The sequence below is a fragment of the Homo sapiens genome, chromosome 15 (genome assembly GCF_000001405.40).
Source record: "Homo sapiens chromosome 15, GRCh38.p14 Primary Assembly".
NCBI lineage: Eukaryota > Metazoa > Chordata > Mammalia > Primates > Hominidae > Homo > Homo sapiens.
This window is the reverse complement of record NC_000015.10, coordinates 91,606,228-91,633,045: the sequence shown is the minus strand read 5'-3', so window position 1 is coordinate 91,633,045 and position 26,818 is coordinate 91,606,228. Positions and strand designations below refer to the sequence as shown.

Sequence of the window (26,818 nt, the reverse complement as noted above, 5' to 3'; positions counted from 1 at the left end):
ACTAACTGTTCCTTCTTGGTCACGCCCTCTCAAGATTGAGAACCTTGGGTGATAGTTGATGACTGGCTGAACACAGTTCACGTGTGCACTCCTTCTACCTCTAGCGATCTGGGAAGAGAAATATCTCCCCCATTTCAGCTTCTCCATTGTGAGTGGGAATGTGTCCCTCACTTCTGGGATGACTCTATATGAGGAAGGTATTGGATTCTGGGAAGCCAAAATTGACCGAGGTCCATATACTACACCTGCTTGGCAAGCCCGCATCCTCATCCTCACCTCTTCTTATAATCATCTTTCAAAATAAAGTTCTCACCTAGCTACTGCAGCACAACCTTGTATGCTGAAAACTCATGTATACCCCACTCCACCTGAACCCCAACCAAACCTCAGCAAATGCACCTAGTTCTGGGTCCAGGTTTTATGGATAACATCTATTTCTGCCTTGGTTTTCTCTTGATTCTGTCTCAATATTTTGAAACTTTTGAAACAATACAACCTATATAAAAATAAATATCAGGGAGGCCATAACCCTTGTACTGCAACTGGTCTAAAGGCTATAATGAATCATATAGATCCAGTCCCCTATACTGTCTCTGTTCCCTAGGCCTTCAGCAGCACACAGGGTGATCTGGGATGCTTGCCTAGTGAGGTCATTCAAGCCTTCCTTCCTGAAGAGATGAGCCCTTGATGGCCCTGCCCATTAGCATCTCATGTTTAGCATGGTTGAGCTAAGAAGTGTCCAGGGGAACACCTGTGCTTCATTCATAATTCTTCACACCCACCGCTTAATACAACACCGTGTCTCCTTGGCAGGATTAAATGCCCCAGCCAACCATGTAGTACCCTTTCTTTGCTGGTTGATTGAATAGCATGAGGAGTTCAAAATGGCCACATGGCATTCTTAGCATCCAATTCCATGAAATCATTTTATTCATGGGTGGAAGCCTTCTGTAACTGAGTACTAAAACTTTTAGCCTAACAGAGTCTATAAATCCAGGAGAAAATAATTTTGCTAGGGAGTCATTAGATCTAATTATGTGATATGCATCCCAATTCCAGCCCTTGTCACGGATCATTGTAATGTGACTATGAGATTTGCTAAATGATATACTGGAAACTGGTTCTGAGCATATCCTTTATTCTGCAAGTCTGCCTCCTTTCCAAAAAAGGTATTGTTCACTTGGGCTAAAGGTCGAGTTTTTCAATACACACACACACACACACACACACACACACACACACACACACACACACAGACTCTATAATATATAATATGACATATACAGGTAACTAGCAGAAATGTGACTGGCAAGGAGAGCAGATTCAAATTCAGAATGTATCTCTTTCACTGATATCTCTCTACAATGGAAGAGGGCAGAGGAAATCAACCAGCTACTAAGTACCTAGGTAGCTCTCCAAGATACTATGCTAATGACTTGTAGTTAGTTGCTGCTGTCAGAGAGTCGGCTACTCAGCAATAGAGTAGACAGATAAGATTTGGCAAACAGAGAGGCTGGGTATGGAGGCTCATGCCTGTAATCTCCACATTTTCGGAGGCCAAGGCAGGCAGATCACCTGAGTCCAGGAGTTTGAGATCAGCCTGGGCAACATGGTGAAACCCCATCTCTACAAAAAATGGAAAAATTAGCCAGGCATGGTGGCATGTTCCTATAGTTCAGCTACTTTGGAAGGGTAGCTGAGGTGGGAGGATCACCTGAGCCTGGGAGGTCAAGGCTACAGTGATCCGAGATCATGCCACTGCACTCCAGCCTGGGAGACAGAGCAAGACCTTGTCTCACAGACAAACAAACAAACAAACAAAAAGATTTGGCAAACCTAAATCCAGGTTGTTGGGCATTTGTATGGTTTTCATTCCGGCCACCATCCACCCACCCTCTGGGCTGGCCCTGGGAGGCCCAGGGAAGGAAACTGACAGATATTCCCAGACTGGGTCAGTTTTCCCTCCTGATTATTAAGAAATCACTCTGTGGTGGAAGTGCTTTGTTGGGCCCACATATAAGATACAGATATTTTTATATCCTAGGGTCATTTCAAAAGCCACACACACTTCTCCAAAAGTCCTTGTCAGCAATGCTGCAGCACTGCCTCTTCTGAGTCTCTGACAATCTGACCAAACTATAGCCATTGTCCGTTAATCACAGTCTCTCTCCTAAATAAAATGGCCAAGTAGATGGGTGGCTATATTTATTTGCTGAGCCAATTTGCCTTCTATGTTGATACGGTTAGGCTTTGTGTTTCCACCCAAATCTCATCTTGAGTTGTAATCCCTATAATCCTCACAATCCCCAGGTGTCAAGGGAGAGACCAGGTGAAGGTAATTATATCATGGGGGTGGTGTCCCCCATGCTGTTCTCATGATAGTGAGTTTTTAAGAGATCCGATGGTTTTATAAGCATCTGGCATTTCCCTTGCTGGCTGTTCTCCTTCCTACCACCTTGTGAAGGAGGTACTTGCTTCGTCTTCACCCTCAGCCATGATTTTAAGTTTCCCGAGGCCTCCCCAGCCATGCTGAACTGTGAGTCAATTAAACCTCTTTCCTTTAGAAATCACCCAGTGTTGAGCAGGTCTTTATAGGAGTATGAAAACAGACTAATACATATATTTTCTTTCAAGGCCACCCTGAGTAAGCGCTAACATTGCATCAGCTAATTTTGGCAATTGCCAAAACGTCATGTAGAGCCATCCAAAAAACAGGTTTGAATTTTTTTCCTCCTTCGTCACTCGGAATATGGAGCAATCTGTGAAGACACAGGTGTGGGCTGAGGCGGGGCAGTCCATGTGCTAATACCTTCTCCTCCTATGCAGCCCATAGCACCCAGCTTCCCATATTAAAGGATTTAATGTAATTTGTATCCATGTCTACGTTCATGTTTTATATATTGCCTATACATACATAAATCTTGTATGCATTGCATATCTTATCTAAGATATTTCAAGCATTTTGAGGGCTGAGACCTTTCCCACCATTCTTAACTACTCTGTCTTCGGTATCTAATACAGTACCTGGATTGTAGTAGTAGAGATGTTACACTTCACAAATAAAAATACAGGACACCCTCCAGCACTTTGGGAGGCCGAGGTGGGCGGATCACGAGGTCAGGAGATCGAGACCATCTTGGCTAACATGGTGAAACCCCGTCTCTACTAAAAATACAAAAAAAATTAGCCGGGAGTGGTGGCGGGTACCTGTAGTCCCAGCTACTTGGGAGGCTGAGGCAGGAGAATGGCGTGAACCCAGGAGGCGGAGCTTGCAGTGAGCCAAGATAGCACCACTGCAGTCCAGCCTGGGCGAAAGGGCGAGACTCCATCTCAAAAAAAAAAAAAAAAAAAAAAATACAGGACACCCAGTTATATTTGAATTTCAGACAAACAATAAATAATTTTTAGTAAAGGTATATCCCATGCAATATTTTGGGACATATTTATACTAAAAAATTTGCTGTTCATCTGAAATTCAAACTTAATTTGGTATCCTGTATTTTATCAGTAACCCTGAGAGTAGGTTCTCAATAAGTATTTGTTGCATTCATAAATAAATAAATAAAAGAAATCATGGATTTATTTAGCGCTTATTCTATCCTTCCCAATTCATTGAACCTTTCCACAGCTATGTAATAGTTTGAAGTACTAATCCCTTCTCTCTGTGGCTGCTAGTAATGGCCACCTTTGCCTCATTGGGAAATTGTCCAAGTTGAGTCAAAGATCATAAAATGTAGAAGTTCAGGTGTAAGATGGGAAAGCTGGAGAAGAATAGTTGCTAAACCATTTTCTCTTTTGTTAAGCCTAATGTGGGCAAAAAGAGAAGGGAGTCAGTTATTCCTAAAAAGATAGTGGTTATTTTTCTTCTTGGTAGAATTTTGGGTTCAGGGGAACAGCAGAATCCCCAGATATATTAGAGACCCCAGAATAGACATATCTTTGTCTTGTTTTCTGCTCAGTTCCCCAGGAGACTGAATTAGTCAGCTATTGCTGCATAACAAATAGCTACAAAAATCATTTGGCATATAGCACTAGGCATTTATTTTTGCTCACAGGTTTGCAGGCTGGTTATAGCAGATCTATTTCAGGCTGCGAATCTTCCCCATGTGTCCCATTTAGGGGCCCAGGTTAGAGAGGCAGTGACTCCGGCAGATGTCGGAAACTTCCAGAATGGTGATCAGAAACTCACCATGCGCCTTCAGGCCTAAACTCAGGACTCAGACACTGTCACTTCTGCTCACATGCTATTGGCAAAAAAACAACAGGGCCAAGCTCAACATTAAGGGGCAAGGAGATAATTTCCTCATCTAAAGGTAGAGAAGGAAAGGGGTAGAAATGTGTTGAATAATAGTTGAATCCGGCAAACACTACGAGACAGTTGCATTACATGTTGAAGCAGAAGAGCCTGAGGCAGCCTCACTGAGACCTTGAATCCTCTCCTTGGAGAGAGGGAACAGAAAAACTATTTTCCCCTGTTGCCTAGAATGATGTGCAAACCATGTAGCTCGATGTCTGAAATATTGCAAGTGCTTATAAATATCTGCTTTGTCTTGGCAGCTCTGCCATAGGCTCTGGTTTTATTCATCATCTACCTGGATAATATGCATTGAAATGATAGTCACCACTTATTGAAGGGTTAGATTGTGCCATTTATGTCTCAGTGAGTACTCCTAACATCCTATAAAACAGATATTATTATTAATCCTATTTTGCGTATTAGAAGACTGAGGGTGGAGAAGTTGAGTAAGTAGCCTAGGAACCCTGGTAAGGGACAGAAAAGTCCCTGTCAGAACCCACGTGGGTCTGGCACAAAGCCTAAGGCTTTCCACGGCTCTGCACTGCGGTGTGTGAACCCAGGATTCCTCTCTTTGAGAGTTGTTCTCTTCTGTCTTCCTCCAGAGGCTGCAGAGAGCTCTCAGAATTCAGCTTCCAGCCACAGCTATGCAAAAACCAGAAGCAACCTTTACAGGGTAATTAAGCAGCTTTCCCATTAAGGGTTCACTAAAGGAAACTTGGTCTTGCAGCCAAGACCAATGGAGTCTAGAAAATGTCTCTTCCACAAGGTTTTGAGAAGGCGCAGCTTGCCTGCCTCCAAGCAGCCCCTGGGGAGTCCCACTGAAGGAGAGGAAGACGGGGCTGTCATTGGCACTGCGTGCTGGCAGGCAAGAAGAGTAGGGCTGGCGGGCTCCAGCAGCGGCCTTGAAGTTTGACTACCTCCAGTAACACTCTATTTATCAGGCTCCTGGCTCTGCGAATAGCCTTGTCAGCTGCTGCTGAGTCAGGGTGGGTATTTAATTAAAATCACTGTGGTGCTGTAGGAATGAGAGATTGGGAAGATAGCCAATCTCTGCAACCCTTCTCTTCACTGGTTCTTCCCTGCAGAGCCCCACTGCCAGGCCCGGGGCCTGTGACACCCCACTCTGTTTTCTCTCACCCAGCAAACAGCACAATCAGCTCTTGCGAAAGGCCTGCCCCACCTGGAGCCTTCAGCTTTGGCAGTGTGGCCACTGGAGCTTTTTAAAGCTGTGCACATGAATGCCAGAGATGCCACTTCTGTTTTCTTTAACAAATCATCGCGTAGAAGCCAGTGGCAGTGGTTTGCAGTAGAGCTATGATGTTACCAGATTGCCTCATGGACAAAACTCTGCTTCTGAGGGGTTGAAACACACGAGGGACAGTAGTAAACGGAGAACCAAAGTACCCTTTAGTTATGATTGTTAGCTGGGATTGTGGCCCAAACACCGCTGATGAGTTCTCTGGGAATCTAGGGAAGACCAGGTGGGCAAGGGCAATGTGAAAGGGCCCTTCTCTCTTTCTAAGCCCAAATCAAGTATTTGGGATTTGATGATCATCTTGCTATAGGCCTCAATGTACAGCACACGGAAGCGTGCGTTAGCCTGTGTGCCCAGGAGGAGGGAGAGGGAGAGGGCTGGTGAGGAGTGTTAAGGCCACGGGGCCTGCTCTGGCCAACTGGACTAACTGAATGAGTGCAACATGGAGGAGAGCAGCACCCCCCAGGGCCTCGGAGTATAACGTACTGGACACATGGACCTGCAGAGCCGTCAACACTTCCTGCCAGATACAGGCCCGAGACAAGGGCAGGGGTGGGGAAAGGCAGGCAGCTCCAGTGCCATCCCTGACTGTGGACCCAAACCTGCTGTGCTTCCGGCACCTGGCTGGCCCCAAATGTTTAAACAGGAATCATGGACAACACCTGCCTTCAAACAACTGATTTTCTGTGAAGGGTGACAGATGTTTTACCAAGTCATGGTAACAGTGAAAAGCCTCACTGCTCTTTGGAGATTTCCCTGGCCCCCTCCTCTCTTCATCCCCTTAGCTGAGGGAGTCATGGAGGCAGCCTTTCTGTGCCTTAATTTTCTCACCTGAAAAGTGGGCATATTATTCCAACCTCGAAGGTAACTATGAGGATCAAACTGAAGTTATTTAACTTCTACACCACTGACTTCAGACTCAAGTGTGGCAGCCTCAGCTTTACTGCTGTTCATCCATCTATCTCCATTGTGAGCCTTTTTCTTAATATGTCCTTCCCAAGTGACAGAATTAGTTGTCCCATCATTTCAATTGGTTGGGGGAAAAAAATCCCAGTATTTTTGGTTAGGAAGCCAGAGGGTTAACATATTTCATCTGTTTAATGTCTGATTAAGACATTGATAGTGTATCTCTATCTGCTTTCTTATCCATCATCCTGGGGAAAAATGTCTCAGCAGCGTTATGAACTTAGCTTACCCTATTTATTCAGAACTGAAATAAGTAAATAAACTAGCAAATTTGGAACTAAACCACTAGTCCAATTCACAGCAATTGCCCTGGACACCCTGTGTTTAGACATATTGATGTTTTGTATAAGTCTTAACTGATTCATCTCTTAAGCAAAATTACAAATAAATACCACTTACAAAGCTTAAAATGTGCAATTGCTTTCAGTTACTCCATGCTGGAGAGAACAGTGAGCCGTGAGAGTTCCTAGGAGAAAATTAACTGCTCTTGAAAAGAAGAAAACTCCAAGTGTGCCACTTTGTACACAATCTATAATCTTTGGCTCCACAGTGTTAAGGCTTTTAATTTCTAGTTGAGCAGCAATGAAGACAAGAGCAATTAGCAATCCACTTTTCATTGTCTTTGTCTTTAAAGTTCAGCGGAAGGCCCAGCAATTGAGGAGTGCTATTCTGATTTCAGAAACACAATTGCCGTGAAGGACAGCGCTTGAGCAGAGGCTTGAAAGTGCTTTATTCTTGAGCCTTTTTTATGCCTTGAAGTTTAATAGAAGTAAAAGGTGTGGGTCAGAGCGTAAGATGCTGAAAGGCATGAATCATTCATTTACCTTCAGGCATTCAGCTGTGGCCAAGCTGTCCATCAGCAGGGAGACTCCAGGTCACCAAGGCCAACATTCTTGTGCATCTAGTCCTGTGTTTGAAATGTGGGTACATTTTTACAAGTGACTCGCATTTTATACCGGCAGGACAGGAAGGGCCATCAGGACACCTGTCTGCTTTGCCATTTCCTTGCTGGGTCACATAAGGGAATCATCTTCCTTTCCCACATCCTAGTTTCTTCAACTATAAAATGAAAGTCTCGGGCTAGATAACTTCTATATGTTTTCAAGAAATATTCTTCTGCAACTTTGGGAAGTGACTACTCCAGCTGGCCAAGCATGTTGGTCCAATAATTCTTTCATTGATGATGAAAAACAGCATATTTATAATTTTTGACTTTTCTAAAAAAATTGAGACAAGGTCTGGCTCTATTGCCCAGGCTGGAGTGCAGCGGCACCATCTTGGTTCACTGCAACCTTTGCCTCCTGGGCTCAAGCTGTCCTCCCACCTCAGCCTCCCAAGTAGCTGGGACTACAGGTGCACCACCACGTCTGGCTAATATTTGTATTATTTGTAGAGATGGGGATTTGCCTGCCTCAGTCTCTCAAAGTGCTGGCATTATAGGTAAGACCCAGTGTGCCTGGCCATTTTTTGACTTTTAAATGTGGTTTGGGAAAGATAGAAAACCAGCGGCTCTCAAATCTGGCTGTGTCTTGGAATCACTTGGGGAGATATTTTGTTTTCAATTAAACTTAGATTGATGTATAATATCACATGCATACAGAAAAATGCATCAGTTGGTGAGTTTTCACAAAGTGAATGCACCCATGGAACCCATTAGATTGTGAAATGAACCCATTACCACCTCCAGGGAGCTTTCTAAAGCCAGATTCCCAAGTCCTACTGTAGATCCACTGTATCACAGCCTCTAGGGTATAAACCAGGAATCCTCATCAGCATATATGACTCAGACAGGCTGACATTATCATTTGGAAACCTCTGAGGTAGACAGTAATTTTTAGGTTTTCAGGTATACATGTAAATTCTGATCAGCCACATGCATAAGGACCTGGAACACTGCATTAGATGTGTTAGCCTAAGGCCGAGGGTGTCAGAAGTCTTGCCAGCCTGGACTCCCCATCCCAGAGTGAAGTGGCTCATCCTCAGGCCAGATAGTCTGCTCGGGACATTATGTGCATTATAATGTCTCCAAGCTGTAATCTCTATAGCGACCTTGGGATGATTGTATCTTACTCTTACTTTACAGATGAGGATGCTGAAGCTCAGAAGGGTTAGATAAGGTGCCTGAAATCACACAGACAATGAGTACTGGTGTTGGATTCAAAATTCAAGTCAGCCTGATATACAAATCCATGGTCTTGCCATCTCCCTTGTGATATAAGCTCCATCCCAAAATTAAAACCATTTCCAACACAACTGGCAAACAACCGGGTATCTCATGGCTGACAGTGGTGTTAGTTCACATCATATTTTTCAAGCATTGGTTCAATTCCAGTACTAGTCAATTTTAACTTTACTATAAAGGTTCTAGAAAACACTATCATTTTTTGAAGTCAGAAAAAAGTCTCCATATACAGGATTTACAGACTAACACCTTCCCAGAAATGTAGTTTGGTCAGACAGAAGTACAAAGAGCTGCACATTTTCTTTTGTGAATTTAGAATTTTTGCTATCGTTGATTTTGGAAAAAAAAACTAATTATCTTCTAGGCTTAAAAATGTTACATAAATCTCCCCCAAGATGTATCTAATTTTGTGGTTAATTATAGGGACAAGTAGAATCAATAGATATTCTACAAAACTATATGCTGTGAAATTCATAGTAGATTCTCCCATGGCTCCTTCTCTTATTTTATTTCATTATTATTATTATTATTTTTTAGTTTTCATGTCTTGGGACTGGAAGGTAACTAGTGCCTTCTATCTGATGTGTGTTCTCTTATGAAAAATGTGGGGATTGGGCACAGTGGCTCACGCCTGTAATCTCAGCTCTTTGGGAGGCCGAGGTGGGTAGATTGCTTGAGGCCAGGTGTTCGAGACCAGCCTGGCCAACACGGAGAAATCCCGTGTCTACTAAAAATAAGCCTGGTGTGGTGGTGCATGCCTGTAGTCCCAGCTACTCGGGAGGCTGAGAATTGCCTGAACTGGGGAAGCAGAGGTTGCGGTGAGCAAAGATCACGCCACTGCACTCCAGCCTGGGTGACAGAGCAAGACTCTGTCTCAAAAAACAAACAAAGAAATATGGGTGTGACAGAGATGACATGAGAATGGTGATGGCAGAGATGAGAAGTGATTGAGGCCAAAAGATGGATCAAATCATTTCTTCTCACTGCTACCCAGAACATCAGTGTTATGTCCTTATGTATAAGAGTACTTATAATATTATTTGTAAATATAATATAGCTCTCTTTAACAGGCATTCTCGGCATGGACTCTGAAGTGTTTGAAGCATGGGTTATTTGCTTTAGGAAGCTGCAAATGAGGACTGATAAAGGAAAAATGGCAGCGAGTTACTCATGGGATCACATGACACCTTTCTTTGAGACAACAGATCTCAACTGGGACCGTTTTGTCTCCCAGTGCCTGGAGACTTACGGTCGTCCCAGTAGAGGAAGGGACGTGATTGGCATCTAGCAGGTAGAAGACAAAGATGCTGCTAAACATCCTATAATACACAAGGCAGTCCTCCACAAGAATTACCCAGTCCAAAATATCAATGGTGCCAAGCTTGAGAAACCCTTGTTCAGGAAATGATAATAAGTCTCACACAGAGACCAGCTTTTCTGTAGAAACAATGAGAAAGACTAAGTGATTTCTACTTGGACCGAATAGCAGGGTACTAAGGAGACCATGTATTCAAAGGGGCTTGCTTAGATTCTAAATTAGTTCCCCTCAGGGCTATATTGGAAAACAATGCTAAGAGAAAACCACTTTCTCTTTGGAATTCGAGTTATGAAGCCCTGCTAATCTTTTCTACTCTAGCAGTCGCCCCTCCCTGCTAATACTTTTTTGAGGGCAGAATTTGCTTTTCTAGTGAGAAATCAGCACACCAACTAAAAAATGATAGCAATGCAAAATGCATCTCTCTAGAGCAAAGTTAATTTAGGTATATGCAGTCTCAATTGTAATACCGTCTTTTTTTTTTTTTTCAAGAACTCTAACTTCGAATAAATGTGGCTGCCATGGTGTCCCTAGGAGAGAGTTGCTAAGGAAACCAAAAACCAACCCCACTGCTGGTTTTCTCCATCCCCATGGAATATCATTATGGCCCATCAGTCATTTTGAGAGTTAGAGACACCACAGCGAACAAAATGACGACTTTATCTGTTTATCCTAGGAGAATAATTTCAAGAAATAGATTTACCCAGTGCCATCAGAAGATTACCTAATGACCCTTCCTGGTAATGAGACAGAAAATGGATGTCATTCATAGAAATGCTACCTTGGAATACATTGCCAAGTCCTTAATATTGTGATTATAAAAATGCAAAGTATACTTTCTGGTAGATTGAAAGAACATATCCACAATAGTAACTATCAGCAAGCCCAATTATATACTGCATAGCCATCGTTATTATTTGGAACACAATTCATTAATTTTAAAATAACCTTTGTATAGTTGCAACAAAAGCTAGCAAAAGCTCATGAAACTCTCCCAGAGTGTGCCAGGAATAGGAACTAATTTTTTTGGTATTTTTTTAACTAGTGTTATTACATCTGGAATATTGCACCAGACAATGGGCAAGGAGAATTTTCAGTGACCAGGATTACAATGCTATAGAAGGAACAGCTGTAAAAAATCGGGAGAGCTCATCTGATAGACAATATTACAGGAGAATAAAAACTGTCTCCTAGTACCTGCAGGGTTGACCTGCAAGTGATCCCATAGTCCCACCTGGAATTGCACTGCATTCTTGGAGAGAGAGGCCTCTCCAGCTCCCGTCTGCAGTGGTGCCCTGATTGACTGATTCCCTCTGCATACATGCCTGCCCACTAGCCCCAGGGAATTTTTTCTCACAGAGCTATCCACTCGGGCACTGTGTGTTCCAGTCTTGCATGCACCACCAGAGGGTCCTTTAATTCCCCCTGCATGCCCACTGCCAACAGCAGCCCTCCTGTGCTCTGGAGTATTTTTCCTTCTCTCTTGTTTGGGACACTAGGCACTCTAGGACCTGCACCTCATACAGGGCTCCCACTCCCTCTGCCTGCCTGCCCACCAGGCTCAGGGGCAGGCTGTTCCTGCATGCCCGGCAACTGTAGACCAGCTCTGGCTCCAGTGAGCCACTGAGTTTCCTCGCTATGCACTGGCTTCAGCCACACCTTCTCCAGTAAGATGGGAACTTCTTCCAGATTTGTCCTTCTTGGGGTATTCTCTCTCAGCTCCAGGTGCCTCTAAAGTCAGTTCTTTCTGTTCTTTCTTTCTTTCTTTCTCTCTCTCTCTCTTTTTGTCTTCCTTCCTTCCTTCCTTCTTTTCTTTCTCTTTCTCTCCTCTCCCTGCCCTCCTCTTTTTTTTTGAGGCAGGATCTCACTGTTGCCCAAGCTGGAGTGCAGTAGCACAATCGTAAGCTCACTGCAAGCTTGAACTCCTGGGCTCAAGCGATCCTCCCTCCTCAGCCTCCCCAGTAGCTGGAACTACAGGCATGTGCCACCACTTTAGTAGAGACGAGGTCTCACTATGTTGCCCAGGCTGGACACAAACACCTGGGCTCAAGCAGTCCTCCAGCCCTGGCATCCCAAAGTGCTGCGATTACAGGCATGAGCCACTGCACTGAGCAGTTTCCTTTCCATCTTTATCATCACTCTCCAGTGATTACTTACATTACAATTCCTCTGTTTAAATTACGTAATGATATCTTCTAGTTGGACACAGAGTGATGTACCCTTCTCTGCACTCCCTACCACCCCATAATTTATGTTAGATCACAAAAATGAACTCGGATATGATTTATTTTGTTGGCATGGACAAAAACCAAAAATGTATACAGGCTGCTGGAAGCTGTTCTGTGTTTGCCAGTGGCTGGTCTCTGGAAGATCAAAAGTGGATTGCTCTGCAGAGATTCAAATTAAAGCAAGCACAGCTTTCCTTTTCTCCCTTCTCCTAGGAAATGCTCACCCTCTCTAGACGGGAAACAGCCCTTTGTTTCGACAAACTACAGTGATCTATAGCATAACATTACCTCAGAGCCACAGTTCTGTGTTCAGAGCAGAGTCACTTTCTCCTCGTTGCTACACAAAAAGCTATTCCCCCATGCCTTTGCCTGCTGCCTTTCCTCATCACTCTATGTGTGTCTGTGTCTGTATGTGTGTGTGTGTGTGGCACAGCACGTTGCATAATGCTTAATATGGGTGTCAGGCAGTATTTCACATCTTTATATATTAACTCATTTAATCCTAACCCTCCTATTAGGCAAGTACAATTAGTACTCCCATTTACAAAAGAGGAAATTGAGGCCATGAGAGCTTAGTTTAACTTGCCCAAGGTCATTTGACATTTCTCATTTTGCCTGTGCTTGAAAAGCCACTTGACATTTCTCATTTTGCCTGTGCTGCTATTAGGGGTGATTTCACTTGTATTTAAAATAAGAGAAGATAAGAAGCTAATGAGCCAGTGACCCTAGGGAAGTGTCTCTTTATTATAAATGATTAAGCATGGAAAAACATGAAACATAAACATGAAGAATTTTGTTTTCTCATTTGCTTTTAGCTTACTGTGTTGGTAGAATAAAGATGAAGACCAGGTTGAGCTCTTCCACTCCCTCCGCCCTTTCACAAGCTAACGCATCAACCCCTCTCCAGACACCCAGCCTCTCTCTTCACAGGAAAGACTGTAAGAGACCAAGAAGACCCTGGCCAGAGGGAAGGTAAACCAGAGATTCAAATTCAAGCATTTAAGACAGAAACAAATGGAACCAGGGGATGTTATAATTCATCAAAACAAAGACTTTTGAGAGTGAAAGGGGGTACAGTTAATAATTACATTGGTAGAAATTATGTTAAGCAGAACTGTCCATGGCACACCCACACATGTGGTAGCCCTATTAGCAGAAGGTAAGACCACTGGAGTCCAGGCATGAATCAAAAGAGCCACTCAGCTGGAGAAAGTTAATGAAGGGGCTGGGTATTAGCAGGGATACAAGAACCAACAAGGGATAGTAATTACCAAGGGACAAGCACAGGGAGAAAGAATCTCCCGCCCTTGACTGGCATGAGCTGGAGCAGGTGAAGGGGGGCTGCCCACATTGCTGAACTTTGAAGAATTCAGCTATTGCCAGAATTTCCAAGAGGCAGAGAGGAAGTGGGAGGAAATCACCATTTACTTCTGCCTTCTGATCACCTGCTAGAGCCTCCCATTGGTCAAAAACAACTGGAAGCTAGAGAACAAAGCAGCCTAGATGGTGCATCCTGAAAAGAGGCTAGTCTCTCAAGACCCAGAGAAGGGCAGAAAACAGGCTTCAGAGCAGAGTCAAACACAGAACCAGTGGATCACAATGAATTCCATAATGTCCTTTCCCATTATACATCAGCCTTCATACGTCCAAACTCTCAGGTAGTTTCCTATTATCTGGACTCAAACGCCATGAATCTTTTCACATGCCCTAATCTGACCCCACTGCCTGCCCCTAGCACCTGGCCCCCTTCATCTGTGCTTCTGAAACTCAGGGCAGCCATTAGCAATGTCTCTTTATCTTTGGCCTCTCTTCTCAGTGTGCCCTTCCTATTTTGCTCCAACTGAAATTTGATTCTCTGTGGACCAAGAATACCTACATGTATATGAATATATATTCTCCTTTGTCTTCATTGCCATTTCATTGTTACTCCCTTCTCTCTAATTACCCTCAGCTTTGAAGCTCATGGGTTCAGACTCATCTACTCACTACCTAACCTTTTTGGAGTCAATTAAGTCTCTCTACTCAGGTACTTGTCTTCTTATTCTTTGAAGATATTTACAATGGGCTTATGGCCACTCACTTCAACACTTGCTGTAAATTCAGTAGTTACTGTAATCTTTGATTATTTCAACACTCATGAAGACAATCTTTCTAACACCCTGGAATTTTTGCTTCTTGAATAATGCATCTTTCCACTTCTTTGGTCATAACCTAGACTTTGCTGCTATCAATGACTATACCACTTCTATGATCTTAATAGAAAGCATCCCACTTTCTGACTATCACCTCCTGTCTTGCCACTTTATCCCTTTGAGTGTTGGACTCTCAAATCAAGTTAGATCCATAGTTCACTGATTTTTACCATAGTCAACAGTTAGACAACCCTCCACTCCATATCATGTCATCACTTCCCTTCTCACCCAATCATGGTTCATGGTCATAACTATTCTCTTGCATACCCTCAACTTCTTTGGCCCTCTTTTCCTTTACTCTACTCACCCAATGCCTTTCTTCATCAGCCCAGGCTGCCTTAATAACAGAAATTTGTTGTGTTGTGGCTTAAACAACAGAAATGTGGTTCTCATAATTCTGGAGGTTGGGAATTCCAACATCAGGTGTAGGGCAAGTAGGTTTCTGATGAGAGATCACTTCCTGGCTTGCAGATGGTCTCTTTATCTCTATATCTTTACATGGCCTTTCCTCTTGCATGCACAAGAAAAGAAAAAGAGACATCTCTCTCTTCTTCTCTTTTTTTTATAAAACCACCAATTTTATAAGATTAGAACCCCACCTTATTACCTCATTAAACCTTAATTATCTCCTAAAACCCCTATCTCTAAGTACAGTCACATTGGGGCTTAGGATTTAAACATATGAATTTGGGGGAGGACAATATTTGGCTCATAGCACCTGACAAAACTTCAACCTTGTTTAAATTCAATATTATGCCTATTTCATGTTTGCAGCTGAACACAGCGTATGTTATGCGACTGCTCAAACTTTGAATACTTGACCACTAACCTGAAGCACTTTTAGTGAAGTCACAAATTACATAGCATTTCACGAATCAGTCTATTTTTCTCCTCGCCTGGTTGGCTATTTCTATGTCTTTCTTCTCAACCACTCAGTATCTTTTCTCCCATTTTCACTCTCAAACAATCACATTGCTTCCTATTTCACTACACATAGTAGAAACCATCAGAAATGATATGGTTTGGCTCTGCATCCCTACCCAAATCTCATTGTTGAATTGTAATCCCTAGTTTTGGGGGAGGGAGGCGGTGGGAGGTGATTGAATCATGGGGGTGGATTTTCCCTTTGCTGGTCTCTTGATAGTGAGTGAGTTCTCATGAGATCTGGTTGTTTTGGAAGTGTGCAGCACTTCCCCCTTCCCTCTCTCTCTCTCCTGCTAGCCAAGTGAAGGCTTTGCCTGCTTCCCCTTTACCTTCTGCCATGACTGCAAGTTTCCTGAGGCTTCCCCAGAAGCATAAAACTGTACAGCCCACAGAACTGTGAGCCGATTTAACCTCTTTTCTTTATAAATTACCCAGCCCAGTCTCAGGGTTGTGTGAGAACGAACTCAAGCAGTTTTTATAGCAGTGTGAGAATGAACTAATACAAGAAGACACCTTCTTTTTTTTAAATTGTTTTTGTTTTTTAATTTTATTATTATTATACTTTAAGTTTTAGGGTACATGTACACAATGTTCAGGTTAGTTACATACGTATACATGTGCCATGCTGGTGTGCTGCACCCATTAACTCGTCATTTAGCATTAGGTATATCTCCTAATGCTATCCCTCCCCCCTCCCCCTACCCCACAACAGTCCCCAGAGTGTGATGTTCCCCTTCCTGTATCCATGTGTTCTCATTGTTCAATTCCCACCTATGTGTGAGAATATGCAGTGTTTGGTTTTTTGTTCTTGCGATAGTTTACTGAGAATGATGATTTCCAATTTCATCCATGTCCCTACAGAGGACATGAACTCATCATTTTTTATGGCTGCATAGTATTCCATGGTGTATATGAAGAAGGCACCTCCTATACATTCCCATCACCACATCTCTCTGCCCACATGCAAAGACACCCCATTCCCTGTTTCCATAGATCAACTTCCTGTTCTCCTTTCTCTGACCAAGTATACCCTTGGCGATCTACCTATTGTTTCTTCTCTACCTTGCGTCATCAACTTTCCTCACTGCTTTTCATTAGCATACACACATGTCATCTTTTTTCATATTCAAAAAAAAGATCCTGTTATCCTAGCACTTTGGGAGGCCAAGGCAGGCAGATCGCGAGGTCAGGGGATCGAGACCATCCTGGCTAACACGGTGAAACCCCATCTCTACTAAAAATACAAAAAATTAGCCAGACGTGGTGGCAGGTACCTGTAGTCCCAGTTACTCAGGAGGCTGAGGCAGGAGAATGGCATGAACCCGGGAGGCAGAGCTTGCAGTGAGCCGAGATCACACCACTGCACTTCAGCCTGGGCAACAGAGCAAGACTCCATCTCAAAAAAAAAAATGTCCTCACTTGCTCCACATTCCTCTGCAGCTATTGCTCCACATTCCTCTTCAGCTATTGCACACATTCTTATGCTCTTTTTAAAGGAAAGACACTGCCTCCTTTTATCTTATCCTCTCCTGAATCCATTGTCATTTGGGTTTTCATCCTCTCCTCACCATTGAAATAGTTCTTCTCAAGGATACCAATTATCTCCTCTCTCCAAATCCAACAAGCAATTTTCAACATGCATCTTACACCATTCATGATCATTTGGGGCAGTGGATTGCTCTCTCCTGCTCTAAGCGCATTCTTATTACTTAGTTTTCCAGGTGCCACTCTCTGTTTTCCCACTTCCTCAGCCAATTCTCCCTAGTTACCTTGCTGTTTCTCCCCTATCTCTAAATGTTGGAAATCTCCAGGTCTCACTTCTTGGATTTCTTTCCTCTGTCTATATCTATTTATTAGTGAGAGCTTTCATTCTCATGATTTTAAATGCCATTTATACTGTGAGGACTACCAGATTTCTATCTCCAGCCCAGGTTTTCTCCTCCAAATGTATATACTACTTATATACCTAGCTGCCTATGTTGTATATTGACTTGGATGTCTGATATACATTGAAGCATTTCAACATAGCTTGTATGAAATAAAATTCTTGACAGTCCTGATTATCCTTCCCAAATCAGCTTCTCCCACCGTCTCTTTCATTGCTATATATGCTGACTCCATCCTTGTAATTGTTCAGGATAAAAACTTAAAGTCATCATTGACACCATTTTTCTCACCCCAGACATCCAATTAACCAGCAAATCTTGGCTTTATGTCAAAATATACCTACAATCTGGCCACTTATAGCTACCCCAATCTCTAACTCCTCCATACAGGTTTCTGTTGCCTCAATTCTGCCTCATTGGAAATGCGTCTCCTAATCTGTCTTCCTGATGCTTCTTTGTTCTTCCATTGCCTTTCCTTAGCACAGCAGCCAGAACGTAAGCTACACCGTGTTCTCTGTTTGAAACCAAGCAGTGCTTCTCATCTCACTCAGAGCACAAGCAAAAATATTTGGCATGGCCCATAAGTTTATACAGGATCTCATCATGGTGTCTCTGAGACCTCACCTCCTTCTCCTTTTCTCTTGCTCACCACACTCCAATCACAGTGACATTTTTGCTAATTCTCGAACATGCCAAGCATGCTCACAAGCCGGGGACTTTGTGCTTGCTGTTCTTTCCTGGAACACTCTTTTATGGATACCTTTGGGGCTAACTGACACGTTTCATCCAGGCCTCTTCTCTTCCTTTCTATATTATCACACTCTGATGCACCGTATTTTATTTATTTTTTGTTTGTTTAGCATCTGCCCCTCCCATAGAATGTAGCTGCCATGATGACAGTGGACCCTCAATAAATGCATTTGGAGGAATAAAGAATTGAAAAGGATGGATTGGAGAGAGCACTGGAATTTGCATACCAAGATTCTCTCTCCTTCTTTGACTGCAAATGAGCCAAAGAATAGTCAAACACACAAACAAACAATAAACCCCTGATAAACACACCTTTGAGACTGGGTCTTTCAATATTAGCATCTTGTCTTAGTGAAAAGCACTCATGGAGACTCAGTGGGGAGTCGTGATTACTGACACAGAGTTGCTTTAAAAGGGGTCGAGAGGAATGTGCACTGAAGCAGAACATGCTAAGTTGGTGTGCTAGAATTTATTATTTGTTCATATTATTCCCTGCCTAACTCCAGACCTTTCCCTACAAAGTTGCCCTTCTGCAGCCCCTCGCTGTGGGAGCAGTACATTGCCACTCCGATGACTCCCAACCTGACCCTGTGGCCTGCTCTGGCCGATGAATAACGGATGCCACATCCACGAGAAGCCATTGGATGATGTTCTCATTGCCTTTTTCCCCTTTTCCATGAGAAGCGTGTCTTAGGCCAACTTCATTAGCCTGATCCCAAAATGAAGACTTCAAGAAGACCTACAGACAACTGGGGGTAGATGTGGTAGGAGTGAGAAATAAGCCTGGGTTGTAATAAGACACTGAGCTATTCTAACTGGTGTGAGATGGTATCTCATTGTGGTTTTGATTTGCCTTTCTCTGATGGCCAGTGATGGTGAGCATTTTTTCATGTGTCTTTTGGCTGCATAAATGTCTTCTTTTGAGAAGTGTCTGTTTATGTCCTTCGCCCACTTTTTGATGGGGTTGTTTGTTTTTTTCTTGTAAATTTGTTTGAGTTCATTGTAGATTCTGGATATTAGCCCTTTGTCAGATGACTAGGTTGCGAAAATTTTCTCCCATTTTGTAGGTTGCCTGTTCACTCTGATGGTAGTTTCTTTAGCTGTGCAGAAGCTCTTTAGTTTAATTGGATCCCATTTGTCAATTTTGGCTTTTGTTGCCATTGCTTTTGGTATTTTAGACATGAAGTCCTTGCCCATGCCTATGTCCTGAATGGTAATGCCTAGGTTTTCTTCTAGGGTTTTTATGGTTTCAGGTCTAACGTTTAAGTCTTTAATCCATCTTGAATTAATTTTTGTATAAGGTGTAAGGAAGGGATCCAGTTTCAGCTTTCTACATATGGCTAGCCAGTTTTCCCAGCACCATTTATTAAATAGGGAATCCTTTCCCCATTGCTTGTTTTTCTCAGGTTTGTCAAAGATCAGAGGTGCTGGAGAGGATGTGGAGTAATAGGAACACTTTTACACTGTTGGTGGGACTGTAAACTAGTTCAACCCTTGTGGAAGTCAGTGTGGCGATTCCTCAGGGATCTAGAACTAGAAATACCATTTGACCCAGCAATCCCATTACTGGGTATATACCCAAAGGACTATAAATCATGCTGCTATAAAGACACATGCACATGTATGTTTATTGCAGCACTATTCACAATAGCAAAGACTTGGAACCAACCCAAATGTCCAACAATGATAGACTAGATTAAGAAAATGTGGCACATATACACCATGGAATACTATGCAGCCATAAAAAATGATGAGTTCATGTCCTTTGTAGGGACATGGATGAAAATGGAAATCATCATTCTCAGTAAACTATCACAAGGACAAAAAACCAAACACCACATGTTCTCACTCATAGGTGGGAATTGAACAATGAGAACACATGGACACGGGAAGGGGAACATCACACTCTGGGGACTGTTGTGGGGTAGGGGGAAGGGGGAGGGATAGCGTTAGGAGATATACCTAATGCTAAATGACGAGTTAATGGGTGCAGCACACCAGCATGGCACATGTATACATATGTAACTAACCTGCACATTGTGCACATGTACCCTAAAACTTAAAGTATAATAATAAAAAAAAAAGTTAAATAACATTTTTGACATATAAAAAAAAAAGACACTGAGCTTCTGGGTGGTTTGTTACTGCAGCATAACCAACAAATACTGACTAATATATCTGGCAAAAATGATATTAGAAACATCTGGAATATGAGCAAAGTGAAAAACTGCCACTGCACCTCTTTCTTTTCACCATATTCACCTGATAAGTTTCCAAATCTGTTTAAATCCAACATCATTCCATGCCTGCATCTCTGAACCTGAACATGGCTCACAAAAAAGGTGTTACCCCAACTTATCTAAGATTATATGTACAACCACTAAACTGAAATAAACTCAGAGGCTAGTCCTGGCAACCGGTAAAGCAGGTGATGTTTGAACTGAAACCTGAGACTGATGAGAAGAATCCAGTTACTCCAAGATCCAGGGAAGAGCATTCAGGCAGAAGGAACAGCAAGTACAGAAGCCCCAAGGTTGGAGCAAGCTCAGTGGATTCAACAGAGAGAAAGGAGCATGAGGCTGTGGTACAATGAAGAAGGCTGAGTGGAGCAAGATGAGATAGGAGGGATAGTCAGGGGCTAGAAGGATCTAGGCACGATTTTCGATTTTTTAAACCAAGGTAAGGACATTGGATTCCTCACATGGCATTGGAAAGCCATCGGAGGGTTTTAAGCAAGGAAGTGATGATGTCTCAGGTTCCTACTGCTTCACATAACCCAACCCCCCTACAGTTAGTGGCTTAACTCAGTGACATCTGTTTTGTTCACAGATCTGCAATGTGGGCTTGGCTTGATAGTCAGCTTGTCTCTGCTCCACTGGTGCAGCTTAGGCAGCTCAAAGGTTGGGGTCAGGAGTCATCTGAAGCCTCACTCACTCACGTGTCCAGCGGGTGATGCTGGCTTTTAACTGGGACCTCAGCAGGACTGCACGTAGCCCGTCTGTGGGGCTGCTTGACTTTCTCACAACGTGGTGGCTGGGTTTCCAAAACAGGCATCCTAGGAGACAGAGAGGCCCGTGGTAGCTTGTATTGCCTTTTCTAACCAGCCCTGGAAGTCTGCTGTGTTCTTCTCATGCAGGCCACTGCAAAAGGGTGCCAGTGTCAAGGGGAGGGAACACAGACCCTGCTATTGATGGCGGCCTCTCCATATCACCCTCTGAGAGCATGTGGGAAAAGTGGCCATCTTTAGAAAATAAAACCTGCCCAGACAGGATGTGATTTACGTGTTTGAAAGGAAACTCTATCTGCTTTGAGAATAAATTATTGAAGGGTAAGGATGGAAATGGAGCCCGATGTGATGGCTTAAGCAGTACTGGGCAGAGGTGAAAGTGACTTAGACTTACGATGGGAGGAGTGGGTATAAAAAACAGGATTGAATTCAGGGATTAAGTGGCTGGTTTGCACACAGGTTACTTTAAATACCCAAATGGCTCCAAACAAAAAAGGGAATGAGCAAGGTGGAGAGTGCCCAGAGATGTACCTCTTACCTTCAGAAGTGCCGTGGGCCTGGCCTTGTTCCTCCAAGGGGAGCACACTGTTTACATTTCACCCCCTCCTCCCACGTCTGGGACTCACTGTTGGAGGTTACTTATGGGTGGATTTGTTGATTTGCTGATATAATCATCACTATTTTATTGATTGATTTATTTTTGAGACAGGGTCTCACTCTGGTGCCCAGGCTAGAATGCAGTAGCACAATCATAGTTCACTATAACCTTGAACACCTGGCCTCAAGCGATCCTCCCACCTCAGCCTCCCAAGTAGGTGGGACTACAGGTGAGTGCCATCATGCCTGGCTGATTTTTGTATTTTTCGTAGAGACAGGGTTTCTCCATGTTGCCTAGGCTGGTCTCGAATTCCTGTACTTAAGAGATCCACCTGCCTCAGCCTCCCAAAGTGCTGGATATTATCATTATTTTAATAATTATATTTGAATGGATATTTTGGCAGAACAGAACAGCAATGCTAAATAAAGAACTGTGATATGCCAGCAGGTAACACCTCATTTTGCTGATTGAAAGAAATCTAAAAAAACTGCCTCTATTTCTCCAGGGTGCCCATAGTAAGCCTATGTTGTACAGACATAGGCTGACGCCAATACAAGTACACTTGACCTTCTTTTAGGCAGGTGTGGCAACATTTACTAGCCATGGCAGGCTGTATTCTTTAATAATAAGTCATCAGGATGTTCTGGGAAGCCATGGTGCTCACTCTTATAAGCTCGTACATATTAGGAAGGTCAGATTCCATCCTCTTCCCTGGTTCCCATGTTCCAGACCTCTTATATCAAAGTTTCCTCATTCCTCCTGCAACTCAGAGAATAGAGGAAAGGGCACTAGCTTGGAAATCAGATGGTGCTAGGCTCCAATCCCAGCTCAGCCACTTATGAATTGATTGACCTTGAGAAAGTGATTCAACCTTTCTGGGTCTCAATTTCTTTCTCCATAAAATGATGATGAATGAAAATAACCCTACCTCCTGGGTTTCATTGTAAAAATTAAATGAAACACCAAGGGATCAGCTACCACAGAGTCTGACACATACTACGTGCTCAACAAATCATAGTGATAACTATTATATATTAAAGGATAAGAATGTCACAATATTTATAAATTCATCCACAAATTCTCAACATGGTCTGTAGTGCCATGCCTACAGACCATTACAGAACAACTGATGCTGCCTGCTAGCTGCAGTCACATCACATCCTTTTAATGGCTAAGTGACTTAACATTGAGAAGACGGAACTCGCACAGTCAGAGCCAGTTGAAAAATAAGTAAAACCCCAGAGAGCATTTAGGCACAAACCGACTTAGACGAACGTGGATTTCTCAGCTCAGCCTGCCAGCTGGATGGCTTTTACATTCTGTTTGAGCTAAGCTATGCTGTCCCAGAGGTTGTTGCAAATTCACTCGTGCTGTATGCATGTCAAAAACTCAGGCAGAAATTCGCTTTGAAACGCTGACATTTTTCAACATATCGCCAAAGCCAGGGACAAACGGGGGTCTGAGAAACACGTTGAGCGCCTTCAGAGGGTCAATGAGAGGAGCTGTCACCAGGTGTATGCTTCCAGGTGACACAGGGAGAGCAGTGGGTCACCCAGGGCATCCACACAACAGCAAGTATTCAGACATTGGAAAAGTTCCGATGATAGATTTTTCATTTCCTTTTCCATCGTCTAGCATCGGATAGCTTAATGAACCCTAATCTAACGCATTCCAACTGATACATTAAAATCTAGTCTTTCATGAAACCTTCCCCTGAAATGAGACTTTCTTTTCAGTGCCAGCTATCATGGCTGTTTATCAACTGCTGCAAAGGTGGCAAGCAGCATACCAGACTCTACACACATGATCTCATTTTCTCCTAACAAACGTGTTCATTCACATAACAAATATTCACTGACCGCCTATGAAACACAGATGACAGGGGCCCATTTTGCCGATGAACCACTCAAGTTTCAGAGAAGGTAAGTGGCTTGTGCCAAGTCACTTAAGGGGTAAGTAGGAGAGTCAAGAAATGAATGGCCCCGGTTTCCACACAGTTCCCAGCAGGCCACACCTCTGTGGGGGTGAACTAACACATCCAAGGAACAAACGCTAGACGTGACGTCTGGAGATCCAGGTACTCAGCTTGGCCAGTTAGTGGTCGTGTGACCTTGGGCAAGTCACTTCATCCTTTTGGGTTTCTTTCTTTATCTTCATGGCAAATTGCTGAACCCTTTTTAACCTACCTTTTGTTGTTTCTGTGAGAATTCAATGCTGAAAAGTAACAATATGGGTGAATCTCACAAGCATAATATTGAGTGAAGGAAGGGGGATGTGAAAGAGTACAGACTGTATGATCCCATTTATAAGAACTTAAAAGCAGGCCAAATGAATAACAAGTCAGAATACTGGTTTCCTTTGGGAGAAGAAAGAGGTTCTGATGAGCAGTGTGAACAAGGGGGGCTTTTGGAGTTCTGGAAGTGTGCTTTTAATAAGAATCATAAATGTAAAAAATTATATAGGTATATGAAATGACTTTGAAAATAGTATACTCAAATATCAGGAAATGTTTTGAATATGGTTTCAACGTCCTCCTCCCTGCCTGCCTGTGCCCTGCTCAGGTGTGGCTGAAGCTAACAGGGCCCCGCTACCCTGGGCTTTATTGTCCTCTCTGGTTAGACCCCAGGGCAGGGCTCCAGTTCTAGAAAAAAGCAAGGGCTGAGGTTTGTGTGTGAACTGAGCTTCCAGAGAACCCCGGATCTCAGAGTTGGTGTCTCTCAGGCAGGCTTCCATTCTCTTTAAGAACACCCCTGCTGGGGTCACCCAGCGTCTGCTCAAGTGATGCCAGTGATGAGAACTCACAACTTTGTAAAACTGACCATGGTGGGGGGCCTTAGGGGTTCCATCAGTCACAACCTGCCCTGTGGCTCCCACCCTGGGGACAGGAGCAATGTTGAAGGAGCCTGTACCTTCTTCTATGTATAAATTTGTTAACTTGTTTAAATGCAAGTTTGTTACATTGGTCAACTTGTTCATGGGGGCTTGTTACACAGATTATTTCATTACCCAGGTATTATGCCTAGTACTCACTAGCTGTTTTTCCTGATCCTCTCCCTCCTCCTACCCTCCACCCTCCAAAACACCCCGGTGTGTGCTGTTCCCCTCTATATGTCCACATGTTCTCATCAGTTAGCGCCCACTTGTAAGGGAGAACATGCGGTATTTGGTTTTCTGTTCCTGCGTTAGTTTGTTAAGGATAATGGCCTCCAGCTCCATCCATGTTCCTGCAACGAACATGATCTTATTCTTTTTATGGCTGCATAGTTATTCCATGGTATACATGTACCACTTTTTCTTTATCCAGTCTATCATTCATTGATGGGCACTTAGGTTGACTCCATGTCTTTGCTATTGTGAATAGTGCTGCAATGAACATATACATGTATGTGTCTTTATGGTAGACTGATTTATATTTCTTTGGGTATATATCCAAAAGGGGTAGATTTCCCCACCTCATGGAATTGTTGCCCATGGGAATACAGGCTGGCTTACAAAAGCTTCAGATTTTCCAAGACAAGTTGAAAATCAAGATTGTTATATGACAATTCCTGGTTTTTAAATGTTGGCAACTAAGTCAGATTTGTTAAGAAAGGTGCCAGCCACAATAAATACTTCTTCAGGCCTTGTCCAGCCAGCAGTCTGCCAGATTGGAATCTCCATTAAAAATATCAATCAGCCACTTGCTTATCTTCCTGTAAACTGTAGTGTAGTTATCTTTCCAGATCAGCACATGTATATTCCCTAATTCTTCTTAATGACCACATAGTATTCCAACACACAGCTGGAACCTTTATCAATTCCTTACTGATGGTTAGGACTTCAGCTAATGTTTAAACATCATGTTTCTTAGTCCCTACTTCTGGACTAGAATGTTTCTCCAACAATCCATCTTTCCACTTCCCTCATCTATTTCTCATAGCTGTTTCCTGACTGCACTTCTCCCAGACCACCTTCAAATGAATGGCTGAGCTCCTCCACTTACTCATCATTTACATCAGTAGAATTTTAGACAAAATTCATTTGAAGTCAGTTTGAGAGAAATGTGACCACATATGCTGGAGCATTTTAGTTCATAACCATTGATCCAGCCCCCTTTTAATCTCCCAACTGTCCCCACTTGGAAAATAAATTCCATGGCCATCTTCCACATAACCCTACCAACCAGATAAAACCACTCTTAACATTTTATTATAATCCACTCCAGTCGTTTTTATAGGTATTTTACGTCTTTGATCTTATTCTACATATAAAATTTTATACTTTTTTATATTTAACACTGAAATCTAGGCATTTTATGATATTATTCAAAATGTTTTACAGATCTTTGAATGACTACATTATTTTTATTCTCACTTGTTTAATATCACTCTTATTTTTAGAAACTTCATTTATTTCCAAATATTAATATTATAAACAGCATTGCAATGAATGTCTTTAGGCAAAAAAGTCCTTCTTCATTTCAGATCATTTCCATTAATAGAATCCCAGAAAGAGAATTTCCCAGGTAAGGGTAAGAATATTTTCAAGACTCTTGAATTGTATGCCACGTTCCTTTCCTAAAGGCTGGAGCCACTTTATATTTCTTCCAGCTGTGTTGAGTGTGTCTGTGTCACTGCACTCAATCTCCGATATTGAATATTCACATTTTTTACAGTTCTATTAATCTGTTAGGTTAAAAATAGTATCTCGTTGTTATTCTAATTTCCATTTTGTTGATAATGAGTGAGGTTGAAAAATTTTCAAATGTTTATTAGCCATTAATATGCCTCTATTTCATTGTCTTCATTCCTTTCCCCTTTGTTTATTGGGAACTTAATGCTTTTATTACCTTTTGGCATGAGTTCTTTTTCTATTAAGGATACCACTCTTTGTCCTATTTGAAGCAAGTATTCCCTCTGGTTTATTTGCCTGTTAAGCAATTTTGAGGGAAATCCTATGTGAAAAATCTACTGATCTCCCTCTCTGTTATTTCTTCTACTCCTTTTGAGCTTAAAAAATGATCACTCCAGTTTATGTATAGATTTGGCCACTATTTATTTCCATTTTCTACTAGTAATATTTTATGATTTATTTATTTTTAAACAAGCTTAATTCTTCTTAGTGAGGGCGTACTATATAAGGCTGAGGTTTAATAGGAAGTTATCAACTATATTTTGTTTTGTTCTTCTTCTTGGAATCCTATTTCTGCTATTGATTGTACATTTTAATAAGATACTTC

The 26,818-nt window shown here is 42.6% G+C and overlaps 1 annotated feature.

The window, feature by feature from the left end:
- Nucleotides 5,226–5,726: an enhancer, noted in NCBI's record as "H3K4me1 hESC enhancer chr15:92170550-92171050 (GRCh37/hg19 assembly coordinates)". NCBI's record gives its function as "activates a minimal SCP1, AML or CMV promoter by ChIP-STARR-seq in naive H9 embryonic stem cells {active_cell/tissue: H9 hESC(naive)}" and the evidence as "EXISTENCE:reporter gene assay evidence [ECO:0000049][PMID:30033119]".